Here is a 14528-nt window from a genome sequence, read left to right on the forward strand (position 1 = left end):
TATCTGCCTGCCTATTAACGTGGTGTACTTTACATAGATTTTTTTAATTTTGTGAGTTAGATCTTAGAAAATAAACACTGGCTCCTTAATAGAATTTGAGCATTTGGGGACAGCTGTAACCAATCTGACAAATTCTATCAAATAACTTCCTTGTCAGGAAAGCCTGGTTTGAATACACATATTATAAAGGTATTCAATTGAATAACTTTAATTGATTCAGTCTTTAAAAAATATTTTTAATATTTGTGGGTACATGGTAGATGTGTTCGTTTATGGGGTGTACATGAGATCTTTTGATACAAGAGTACAATGCATAATAATCACAACAGGGTGAATGGGGTATCCATCACCTCAAGCATTTATGCTTTCTTTGTGATACAATCTAATTATAATCCTTTAGTTATTTAAAAATGTATGATAAATTATTATTGACTGTAGTCACCCTGCTGTGCTATCAAATACTAGATCTTATTTGATTCAAACTTTTAATCAAATGGTTTAATTAAATCATTTTAATTTGAATGATTTAATTTAAATATTAATTTGGTTACATTTTCAAAACCACAAAGAAACAGTCTCTGATGAAAGTAGTAGTGCAATGAGATACAGGGGCAACAAAGAATTCTCCCCCACTTCAAAAAGGTCCATTTATGAAATTTCTTGCATCATTTTTTCAAGAGATCTGCCTAATAAATTAATTTAAATTGAGGCACCGTAATTTTGGAATCAGCAACAGGGATTTTGTAATAGAATTATGGGAGCCATTTAGCACTGGCTATGGTGTATTCATATGTGATTTTAATTGCATGAAGTTCCAAATACAAGATCATGAACTTTCTTATCTATCTCTTTTACTTAACAGATAGGGGCCTCTGGAAGCTAGCTGCAAAGTTCAATCTAATGATACTGTTAGATACTATGATGGGAAATCATAGATGAGAGCAGGAGCTTTTGCACTGAATTTCTGTGCCATTTCCTGGCACTCATATTAAAATTATAAACTACTTAAATCCAAAATGTAGCCATCTTAGAATGTGCCACAGAGTTTTACAATTTTTTCTCAGAAATATGGTTCAGTATTTCCAGAGAGCTAAATTAATTGCTAGAAACTCCTCTGACAACCCAACCAAACACAAGCTGTTATGAAGCCCATGATGATAATTAAGACTTAATGAAATTTTGCTCATGATGATGCCTTTAGCTTTATATTTTCTGGCCTGATTTTATTGCCATGCTATGCTTAGATTCTTTCTTTCTTTCTTTCTTTCTTTCTTTCTTTCTTTCTTTCTTTCTTTCTTTCTTATTATTATACTTTAAGTTTTAGGGTACATGTGCACAATGTGCAGGTTAGTTACATATGTATTCATGTGCCATGCTGGTGAGTTGCACCCACTAACTCGTCATCTAGCATTAGGTATATCTCCCAATGCTATCCCTCCCCCCTCCCCCCACCCCACAACAGTCCCCAGAGTGTGATGTTCCCCTTCCTGTGTCCATGTGTTCTCATTGTTCAATTCCCACCTATGAGTGAGAATATGCGGTGTTTGGTTTTTTGTTCTTGTGATAGTTTACTGAGAATGATGATTTCCAATTTCATCCATGTCCCTACAAAGGACATGAACTCATCATTTTTTATGGCTGCATAGTATTCCATGGCGTATATGTGCCACATTTTCTTAATCCAGTCTATCATTGTTGGACATTTGGGTTGGTCCCAAGTCTTTGCTATTGTGAATAATGCCGCAATAAACATACGTGTGCGTGTGTCTTTATAGCAGCATGATTTATAGTCCTTTGGGTATATACCCAGTAATGGGATGGCTGGGTCAAATGGCATTTCTAGTTCTAGATCCCTGAGGAATCGCCACACTGACTTCCACAATGGTTGAACTAGTTTACAGTTCCACCAACAGTGTAAAAGCGTTCCTATTTCTCCACATCCTCTCCAGCACCTGTTGTTTCCTGACTTTTTAATGATTGCCATTCTAACTGGTGTGAAATGGTATCTCATTGTGGTTTTGATTTGCATTTCTCTGATGGCCAGTGATGGTGAGCATTTTTTCATGTGTTTTTTGGCTGCATAAAGGTCTTCTTTTGAGAAGTGTCTGTTCATGTCCTTTGCCCACTTTTTGATGGGGTTGTTTGTTTTTTTCTTGTAAATTTGTTTGAGTTCATTGTAGATTCTGGATATTAGCCCTTTGTCAGATGAGTAGGTTGTGAAAATTTTCTCCCATTCTGTAGGTTGCCTGTTCACTCTGATGGTAGTTTCTTTTGCTGTGCAGAAGCTCTTCAGTTTAATTAGATCCCATTTGTCAATTTTGTCTTTTGTTTCCATTGCTTTTGGTGTTTTAGACATGAAGTCCTTGCCCATGCCTATGTCCTGAATGGCTTAGATTCTTTTTGTCCACATAGCTGAAAAAAATATTATAATTCCTCTATTTTCACTCTTCCTTTAAGAAAAATAAATCAAGCCACTTAAATATTGCTTATTCACCTGCCTTTTCAAATATTTAAAGGAACACCTAAATTGTGCTGAGCTGTGTGTTGAGTGCTGGAGATATAATAGTAAACAAATGCTCCTTCGTTTTAAGGAGTTGTAATTGAGGAAACTGACATGGTAGCTAATCATTTTAATAGAAGGTGGGATAATTGTAAAGCTGGATCTATGCCAGAGTTTCTTGTGAATATAAAAGGAAAATAACTCATGAACGAGGGGACAGTTCCAAGAAAGGATTTGTGGAGGTGGTTACACCTAAGCTACTGATATTCTGTCTCAAACTTAGGTTTTTCTAGTCTCAAAGTCCACACTTATTCCACTGTATCACATTATAGTAGAGGCTGTACAATGCCGAACTAACAGCTAAATGTGGCTGAACAATAAGTTTCTTAATCTAATAATAATATGCTTCTATTTCTCATAAGGTTGTTGAGATGACAAGAATGAAAATCATTAAGAAATAGTTCTCTCCAAGATGATGTAATGCTAAAATTGCATATGATTACTTTGTTTCTGCAAAATGTTGCAATAGCCAAGAGACTTTAAAGTGATCAAAAGAAATAAAATAAAAATTAAAAACCCTTCAGCTTTAGTATATGGATTCTGGAGTAAGATACTGTTATCTACTTTTTAAGAAGGATTAAACAACATTATTAAAAACATTTCAAATGAATGCTTACACCAGAAGACTGTAGAATGCTGAACAATTATCAGTGATCTTAAGTGGCAAGTAAGCTAGTCTTTTGCCCCATAGCATCCTGTGTTAGTGGTCCATTTAACACCTTCAGCTAGTATTTCCAGGGACTTGTTACAGGGACATAAATTTCAAGCAGAAAACAATTCAAAAACTATTGAAGTCCTTGGTCTGGTGTCTGCTTCCTCTACATTCTTTCCCTAGGCAATACAACCACTTTCATTTTTTATGCTACCATTTGTTGATGACACCTAGATCTAAAATCCAGGCCACAGGCTTTTTCCAGACTTTCCCTTCAAGTGTTATGAAGATTTTTTATGCCAAGAGGAAGGCTTATCTTTGGTGAAAAAGTATGTCAAAGAAAAAGGAAACCGGTCATTGTCCTGGGAACGAAATATAAAAGTTGAGAGTTAGGTATATAGCCAAATAGTTCATTTAATCTGCAGGAAAGAAGCAGAACAGAAACTAGGCTCTGCCATAGGTACAAATGGATTAAATGAAGCTTTTTTGCTATTATGTTTATGCTGGTGTTTCCCATGGGGTGCCATGATTGTTCTATTTTACTCTGTAGCCATTTTTTCTTGCCCTTTTTGCTTTTGTTTCTGCGTGCCTGATTCTCAAACTTTGACATATGACCAATCTGTTTCTCAGGCTGTAGACATACACCTTCATTCCTTGGCTAACCTTTTTTCTTCCTTCACCAGAACTGAGGCCCTTCTCTTGTGATAGAGTGCCAAAGTCAATCCATTATTACAACTCTGCACCTGTCTCCACCCCTTTTTTTTTTTTTTTGCCATTTCCTGACTTCAATTTTAATTGTGAAGCAAGATTTTATTTCTTTTAAATTTTAAATTTTGGTGGGTACATTGTAGGTTTGTAGATATATATATGCACCATATATATATGGTATATGGTGTATATATATACACACCATATAGATACACACCATATATATACACCATATATATACCATATATATACACATCATATATATACCATATATATACCATATATATACACCATATATATACCATATATATACACCATATATATACCATATATATACACCATATATATACCATATATATACCATATATACACCATATATACACCATATATACACCTATATATACACCATATCTATACCATGTATATACACCATATATATACCATGTATATACACCATATATATACCATATATATACCATATATACCATATATATACCATATATATACCATATATATACACCATATGTATACCATATATATACATCATATATATACCATATATATATACACCATATATATACCATATATATATACACCATATATATACCATATATATACACCATATATATACACCATATATATACTATATATACCATATCTATACACCATATATATACCATATATACCATATGCATACCATATATACACCATATATACACCATATATATACCACATATATACACCATATATACCATATATGCACCATATGTATACATATATACACCCTATATATACACCATATGTATACATATATACACCCTATATATACACCATATATATACCATATATATACACTCTATATACCATATATATACCATATATATACCATATATATACACCACATATATACACCATATATATACACACCATATAGATACACACCATATATATACACTACATATATACACCATATATATACACCATATATATACACACCATATATATACCGTATATATACACACCATATATATATACTGTATATATATACACCATATATATATACTGTATATATATACACCATATATATATACTGTATATATATACACCATATATATATACTGTATATATATACACCATATATATACACCATATATACACCACATATATACACCATATATATACCGTATATATACCATATATACCATATACATCATATATATCATATATATCATATATATCATATATACACCATATATACACCATATATATACCATATATACACTATATATACCATATATATACACTATATATACTATATATACACCACATATATACACCATATATACACACCATATAGATATATACACCATATATATACACACCATATATATACACCATATATATACACACCATATATATACACACCATATATATACCATATATATACACCATATATATACTGTATATATATACACCACATATATACACCATATATATACCGTATATATACCATGTATATACACCATATATATACCATATATACACACACCATATGTATATACCATATATATACCATATGTATATACCATATATACCATATGTATATACCATATATACCATATATATACCACATATATATACCATATATATCACATATATACCATATATACCATATACACCATATATATACCATATATACACCATATATATACCATATATACACCATATATATACCCCATATATACACCATGTATATATATACCATATATACACCATATATATACCATATATACACCATATATATACCCCATATATACACCATGTATATATACACCATATATATATACACCATATATATACCATGTATATATACACCATATATATACCATGTATATATACACCATATATATACCATGTATATATACACCATATATATACCATGTATATACACCATATATCTATACCATATATATACACCATGTATCTATACCATATATATACACCATATATCTATACCATATATATACGCCATATCTATACCATATATATACGCCATATCTATACCATATATATACGCCATATATATACCATATATATACGCCATATATATATACCATATATATACATCATATATATACCATATATATACACCATATATATATATACCATATATATATATGGTACATAAGATATTTTGATACAGACATACAATGGCTAATAATCACATCTAGGTAAATGGGGTATCCATTACCTTAAATATGTATCCTTTCTTTGTGTTACAAACAATCCAATTACATTCTTAGTTATTTTTTATTTATTCATTTTTTTTTTTTGAGACGGAGTCTCACTCTATCACCAAGCTGGAGTGCAGTAGTGCGATCTTGGCTCACTGCAACCTCTGCCTCCAGAGTTCATGCGATTCTCCTGCCTCAGCCTCCCCAGTAGCTGGGACTACAGGCGCATACCACCACGCCCAGCTAATTTTTGTATTTTTAGTAGAGACGGGGTTTCACCATGTTGGCCAGGATGGTCTCGATCTCTTGACCTCATGATCCACCCGCCTCGGCCTCCCAAAGTGCTGGGATTACAGGCGTGAGCCACCGCGCCCGCCCCATTCTTAGTTATTTTTAAATGTACAATATAAATTATTGTTGACTATAGTCACCCTGTTGTGCTGTCAAATACTAGATCTTACTCATTCTTCCTAACTATATTATTGAAACTATTAAACATCCCCACTTCTCTCTCCCCTCCCCCAAACCCACTACCCTTCCCAGCCTCTGGTAACTGTCATTTTACCCTATCTCCATGAGTTCAATTGTTTTAATTTTTTTAGCTCCCATTTATAAGCGAGAACATGTGAAGTTTGTCTTTCTGTGCAAGGCTTATTTTGCGTAACACAATTACCCCCAGTTCCATCCATGTTGTTGCAAATGGCAGGATCTCTTTTTTTTATGGCTGAATATACTCCATTGTGTATGTGTACATTTTCTTTCTTCATTCATCTGCTGATTGACACTTAGGTTACTTCCAAGTCTTACCTGTTGTGAACAGTGTTGCAACAAATATGGGAGTGCAGATATCTCTTCGATATACTGATTTCCCTTATTTTGGGTATCTACTCAGCAGTGGGATTGCTGGATCATATGGTAGCTCAATTTTTAGCTTTTGGAGGAACTTCCAAATTGTTCCCATAGTGGTTATATTCATTTACATTTCCACCAACAGTGTACCAGGCTTCCGTTTTCTCCACATCCTCGCCAGTGTTTGTTATTGCCTGTCTTTTAGATGTAAGGCATTTTAACCGGGGTGAGATGATACCTTACTGTAGTTTTGATTTGCATTTTTCTGATGATCAATGATAGTGAGCCCCTTTTTGTATGACTGTTTGCCATTCATGTGTCTTCTTTGGAGAAGTATCTATTCAAATCTTTTGCGCATTGTTCGATTATTTTACTAGATTTTTCCTATAGAGTTTTTTGAGCTCCTTATACATTCTGCTTATTAATGCCTTGTCAGATGGGTAGTTTGAAAATATTTTCTCCCAACCTGTGGCCACCACCACTGGGACTGTACTAGGTCAGACCTGAGGCCAACACAGAAATGGGTCTGCCCAGGTCCTGCAATGACCACTGCCTGGCTACTGTCTATGTTTGCTCAAGGCCCAAGGGCTCCACAATTATTTGATGACAAATCCAGCCAGGCCTGTGTCCTTCCCTTCAGGGTGGTGAGTTTCCTTGGCCCTGGGCAGGCCTGGAGTTGCTGTCTGGGAGCCAGGGTCTGGAGTCGGTTACCTTAGGAATCTACCTGGTGCTCTAGTCTATTGCAGCTGAGCTGACACCCAAGCTACGGGACAAAGTTCTTCCCATTCTTCCCTTCCCTTTCATCCAGCAGAGGAATCACTTCCCATGGCCGCCACCACCCCATGCACGTGACGAGTACTGCCTGGCTACCCCTAGCAATCACTCAAGGCCCATGGGGCTCTTCAGTCAGCTTATGGTAAATGCTGCCAGTCCAGTGCCTTTTTTTTGTTGTTTTTTTTTTGACAGAGTTTCGATCTTGTCACCCAGGCTGGAGTGCAGTGGCGCGATCTCGGGTCACTGCAACCTCTGCCTCCTGGGTTCAAGCGATTCTCCTGCCTCAGCCTCCCGAGTAGCCGGGCTTACAGGCGCCCGCCACCACGCCTGGCTAATTTTTGTGTTTTTAGTAGAGACAGGGTTTCACTGTGTTGGCCAGGCTGGTCTCGAACTCCTAACCTCAGGTGATCTGCCCACCTCAGCCTCCCAATCCAGTGCCTTTTCATTCAGGCCAGTGGGCTCCACTCTGGCTCAAGGAAGGTCCAGAAATGCTGTCCAAGAACCAAGGCCTGGAACCGGGGACCCCAAGAGCCCACTTGGTGCTCTGCCCTACTGTCACCAAGCTGTTACCCAAGCTACAAGACAAAATCCCCTTTACTGTTCCCTCTCCTTTCCTCAATCAGAAAGAGTCTCTCTCCATGACCATCACAGCTGGGAATGTGCTGGGTCACATCTGAAGCCAGCAGGGCTCTGAGTCTCACCCAAGGCCCATGGCAAATTCTGCTCGGCTACCACTGCTGATTATTCAGGGACAAAAGGTTCTTTAGTCAGGAGGTGATGAGTTCTTCCAGGACTTGGTCCTGCCCTTCAAGGCAGTGGGTTCTCTTCTGGCCTAGGTGTGTTAAGAAATGTTATCCAAAACTAAAACCTGGAATGAGGGCATCAGGACTCTGCCTGGTATCCTATTCTACTGTGGTGGAGCTGGTATCCAGATTGCAGGACAAAGTCCTCAATCCTCTCCCCTTTTCTCTCCTCAAGCTGAGGGAAGGAGTCTCTCCCAGAGCTGTGAGCTATGGTGTCAGGGATTAGGGGAGGGGTGATGCAAACATTCCCTTGGCCACGCCAGCTGATATCTCACTAGGTCTCATGCACCCCAAGTGCACTGGCTCCAAGCCCAGCACAGCACCAGGACTTGCCTCATAGCCTAGACTGCCTTTCAAGTTTATTTAGGACCCGGGGGGCACTTTTGCCCATGGTGGTGGGGCTTGCCAGACAGAACTCAGGTTCTGACCACTGGGATGGACAATTTGCCTCTAGCTAGGGCTCATCTAAATGCTCTCTCAGTGGGCGCTGGCTGATTTCTGCCCCATGTTGCTTACCAGCACTGAGTTCCAATGCAAAGTCCCACAGTCACTGCATTCTCCCTCCAACAAGCATACAGATTCTTTCTCTGCACCATGTGACCACTGCCAGAGGATGGGGCAGTGGTGGTGGTGTAGGCAATTCAAGACTGTCTTTCCTACCCTCTCCAGTGCCTCTTTCCTTAATACAATGTTAAAACCAGGTACTGTGATCGCTCACCTGATTTTTCTTTGTATGAAGGTGCTTTTTTTTGTGTGTGGATAGTTGTTCAATTTGGTGTTCCTGTGAGTGGGGGACAATTGCTGGAGGCTTCTATTCAGCCATCTTGCTCCACCTCCCTGAAGCAAATAAAAAAGCTTTAGAAAAATTTGTACCCCTCACACCAAAGTGATTAAATGATAGTGATAGTCCACCTAAAATGTATAGTTTCTGATTTTTAAAACCAGTTTATATATTTTATATTTCATTACATAAATGTACACCAATAAAATGGCCAAAAATGATATAGTAAGGCTAATTATGTCATTGAATGGCCAGTTGTGTTCTTTGAAGGCTTGGAGTTCTTGAAGTTCCAAGAAAGCCTCTGAGCTGGTGTGATTTGGGGGGCACTGCTAAAGTTGTCTTTCCCGCATCAGGCAAAATGTCTTGCTATCACCTGTCACTCTTTATAGTCCCAATAATAGTCATTTAACTTTAATTCAAAGTGCCTAATTAAAATATAAGCACTATTAATGGGAGAAAGAGGTTTGAAGTAAAGAAAGGGCCCAAAGGCCAGTCTTTTTTTTTTTTTCATGGTTTCCCTCAGACCCCACCCAATACGTTTTTTTGGAAGATTAACATGCTAATGTTTATAGAATGCTGTAAAGTCTTCGTATAACAAAAGAGATCTACATACTCCAATGGCAATAGTAATACAGTATAATGTTCAAAGAACATATAGATGTCACATATGTGGAATATTCCTATCAGGGAAACCCTTACATATTCCCTCTGTTACCTTTACATGGCATTTCTTCTTCTATTATTCCTGGCAATGTCTGCCTTAGTGAAAAGACAGGGGTCAAGCCAATATGTTCCCATTGCATGCACTCGTTACAAAGATTTAATTCGCTGATAAACATGTTACCATATTAAATCTGCAGCTTGCCTACCAAGAGTAAATGTTTTGTGTGAGTGTGTATCTAAATGCATAGTCTGAAAAGAAGATAGGGGGCAAGTTATTGCAGGAAAATTCTTCGTGGGAAACTATTGCCTTCTGATGAGCTACTATCTGTTCCCAGCATGTGCTTTCATTAGTCATCCATTAACAACCACCAGTTCATCTCCTAAACATTCAGGGTTCCTCATGGTAAAATAACTGTTTCTTCCTAGTGTCACGTTTTTCCTACTGTGCTATGCAGCCATAATTTTTGAGATTTTTTAAAATTTTTATTTTTAAGTTCTGGGGTACATGTGCAGGATGTGCAGGTTTGTTACATAGGTAAACATCTGCCATGGTGGTTTGCTGCACCTATCAACCCATCACCTAGGTATTAAGCCCAGCATGTTTTAGCTATTTTTCCTAAAGCTCTCTCTCCCCCTACCCACCCCCCACAACAGGACCCAGTGTGTGTTTTTCCCTCCCTGTGTCCATGTAATCTTATTGTTCAGCTCCCATTTTTAATCTTGCTACCTTCTCTTCTGCTCCCTTACTATTCTATGAGTGATTATCTACCTACCTAAATTGTTTTTCAGTAGAAAGAAAGCATTATATAGAGTGGCAGCCATCCCAAAACTCTGTGGTTACCCCCAACTTTTTCCCCACCCTCTACATGGGTTATAAACTTAACAAACGAACATTATGAAAACCAGGCTATATTCCATGAAGACACCCTCCAGTAGTTCAGACAGAGCAAGAATGTTTAAGCAGAATAATGAAAAGGCTATCTTGGGCCGGGCTCGGTGGCTTACACCTATAATCCCAGGACTTTGGGAGGCCGAGGTGGGTGGATCACTTGAGGTCAGGAGTTCGAGACCAGCCTGGCCAACATGGTGAAACCCCATCTCTACTAAAACTACGAAAATTAGCCGGGCGTGGTGGTGAGCCCTGTAATCCCAGCTACTTGTGATGCTGAGGCAGGAGAATTGCTTGAACCCAAGAGGTGGAGGTTACAGTGACCCGAGATTGCGCCACTGCACTCCAGCCTGGGCGACAGAGTGAGACTCCATCCCAAAAGAAACAAACAAACAAACAAACAAAAAAAAAAACAAAAAAACAAGGCTATCTTGTTAAACCCAAATAACCTGGTAGTGAATTGAAGTAGCTGATAGTAATTTTCAGTTTTCCTCTGAGTAATACCAGTTTATAAATTGAATTATTATGGTAAATAGTGGATATTTTGTCAAGTAAAAATAAAAATATAAAATAGTATAATAAACATTTGCATGTATTTACCAGACAAGTGGCCCTTTAATATTTACATTTACGATTAATTTTTAAAAATATAACATAGACTTATGAAGTAGAAAAGGACTTTACAGTTTTGTCTAATTAAATTATTTGCACTCATAAAAATAGTCATGCCACCCCACTTATAAATATCTACCCCCGCAATAAAATCCTTATATACAACCAAAATATATTTCACAATGTCCTTTATTAATGCATAACACTTAAAAGTCTTCCCTTGATGATTAAATAATGTCAAAAACAGACTTAAAAAATAAGGATTTGGAAATTTTTGATAACAATTTAGTGGGGGCGATCCATCAATAACTTCATAAATTTCTTCCAGAGTAGGATAACATAGTTGAACCACAAATCCTGTTCCCATCTTGGAGTCTCACTCAGACAGTTGAATTCAAATTCACAAGTCTAAAGTACCAAGATACAGTCCAAATTGGAGTACCTGGAGAGTCCAAGAAAGCTGTTTGTGATGTCACATGAGGTGTCTTCAATAGTGTTGATATTCAATCCTGAGAGAAGATGTAACCCAGGCGAAGATTTTAATGTAGAGGAATCTGGAACTGAGGTGAGATCTGGAAAGCCAAATGTAGGTACTCTGCTACCAGACAGAAGTAAGTTTTGTCTCTGGTCAGACAACGATCTCTTTCTGTAGCAAGGACGCTGTAACAGCTAGGCTTTAGGAACCTAAGCAGTGAGACCAGCTGCTAAACAGCCCGGCCACAGAGGGCAAGAGTCATTTGAGAAGAGCTTCTTATATACTACTAGGTCTTCTCTCATTGGTTGAGAGTCTGGGTGGGGCTGATTATGTCAATAATCAGGTGAATTGTGATATCATAGACCATGTAAGTACTGACATATATGTTATTATATTAACCAAGCTATGTTGTACATTACAGAGTACAAGGGCAGATTGTAATGTCATAAAGTTTACAGTGTACCAGGAGATATAAACAGAAAATTACAATACAATATATATGCTAGGATACAGATATATGTAAGGTACTGAGAGAAGACATAGCAAGGAGTAATTAACTCTGTGTGTGGAGGTTTAGAAAGGGCTTCCCAGATAAAGTACTGTCTCAGCTGGGTCTTTAATTATGGGTAGACATTTGCCTGTGTGTACAGGAAGGAGGTTTGAAAAAGGGGTATATTACAGATGTCATTCTAGGCAAGACAGACAAAAGTATACAAAAGCACAGAAAAATGAAAGGGAAAAAATAGCTGGAGATGAGGCTGGAGTAGAAAGCATATCTCAGACCTCAAAGTAACCTAATTCTTCATGATATAGTATGCCTTTTTAGTCAAGTTTTATTCTTAATGAAATGAGGAAATATTTGTGTAAGAATACTTACAAGTCATCACCAATGTTGTATTTCCCTAAAAGCTACAGAACATAATCTATTAAAATCCTATAGATTTACTTTAATAATGCAATGCTGTCATCATAAGGACTTTCCTGTGAAGTCATGGAACCTAAAACTATAATTTGTATACATCTATCCAGTGTTAACAATTTGTAGGGCATCAGACCAGGAAGGAGGTTTGGAAAGTTAGTAGCAAGTCAAAATGTGACTTCAGTACTACTAAGAAAATAGGGTGATATTAGATAATCAACATTTATAATGTTATGGAATTATTAATAGAATATCAAAATATTAATGAAACATAAATTGTCCTGATCCAAAATGGAACCATGCATTATTCAAATTATTTACTGAAAGAAAACCTGTGTTCATCTACCAAGTTTCACAGAACATCTATCAAGTTTCACAGAACATCTAATATATAGTATATATATTATAGTATATATAATAATATTATATAGTATATATCATATAGTATATATCATATAGTATATATCATATATACTATAGAATATATATTATAATACTCTATAGTATATATGATATATACTATAGAATATATATTATAATATTATATAGTATATATCATATAGTATATATCATATATCATATATACTATATTATATATTATAGTATATATACATATAATACATTATATATTATAGTATATATACATATAATACTTTATACATAGTATATTGTATATCATATAATAAATGGCATTCTGCTTTATAAGCATTTCTTTTCCCTGCTAAAATATAATTTTACTCATCCTCAACAGGTTTTCCTAGGAATATTGAGTAAAGTGCCTTTTCTGTACCTCTTTCATTTTTCTCTGCTTTTACTTGTCAGCATCTCTTTATTTCAATCTATTTGATCATAGGTTTTCAAAATCAATGTATTATGTTTAGAAGGGCTGAAGTGTTATTTGGATGATGACTAGAAAGAGATACTGCTACTTCTAACAAATAGGCACACCTTTCTTTTTGATCCTTTCCTCCAACCCCAGGCCACAACTAAAACTGCTTCTTTTGAATTACCTTCAAGTAACAGAGTATGTAAACGTGGTGGAGACTGTTCTTAAAATCTTGTGCAAATCCTGTAAAACCAAACAGAAAAAAATCTAAAGTCCTACCAGAAATTAATGAGCACTGAATACATGGTAGAATTTTGAAGCATTTGTAAAAACTACATTGAAGAAACTAGAGTTAGAAACAGTACCAAAGTTCTGCCTCCTAAGCCAGGATGAGGACATGGTAAAAGAATATCTTGATGACCTCCAACCATCGTGCCTAAATTATTGATAAATTAAGGAAGCTGGAGGATGAGAAAATCTGTAAATCTGTATTAACCTAAGAAATTGGCAGAGGAGAAAGTATAGTATATAGATAGAGTGTATGTCAAATAAGGCAGCAATAAATATTTTTAAAAGCAAAACCATCTGGCAAATTTAGAAACTATATGACTTTTATGGCTACTCTTAGAATTTGCCAAAGATTAAGAATTGCCCCTCCTCTGTGATCAGTTTTCTGCTTCTCAATGTAAAGTTCTTCCTTCCAGCTTTTCAACACTTTTATTCACAAATATCATTCTATGACATCATTACTGATCTCCTTGACATTTTCGACAAATCTCTTGC

At 36.2% G+C, this 14528-nt stretch overlaps 1 protein-coding gene and 1 long non-coding RNA gene across 4 annotated transcripts in view; one reads left to right on the forward strand and one right to left on the reverse strand.

Moving 5' to 3' along the window:
• Window positions 1–12253, reverse strand: part of LOC105373313 (uncharacterized) — a 96198-nt gene extending 83945 nt beyond the window's left edge. Inside the window, exons 1-2 of the long non-coding RNA XR_001755943.2 lie at window positions 11968–12253; window positions 9299–9417 (exon numbers count right to left, since the gene is read on the reverse strand). This is a non-coding gene — a long non-coding RNA (uncharacterized LOC105373313). The remainder of the gene's footprint in view (window positions 1–9298; window positions 9418–11967) is intronic.
• HTR2C (5-hydroxytryptamine receptor 2C) overlaps window positions 1–14528 on the forward strand; it is a 325976-nt gene that overhangs the window by 217353 nt on the left and 94095 nt on the right. The window lies entirely within an intron of this gene.

Source organism: Homo sapiens, chromosome X, assembly GCF_000001405.40.
Source record: "Homo sapiens chromosome X, GRCh38.p14 Primary Assembly".
Taxonomy (NCBI): Eukaryota; Metazoa; Chordata; class Mammalia; order Primates; family Hominidae; genus Homo; species Homo sapiens.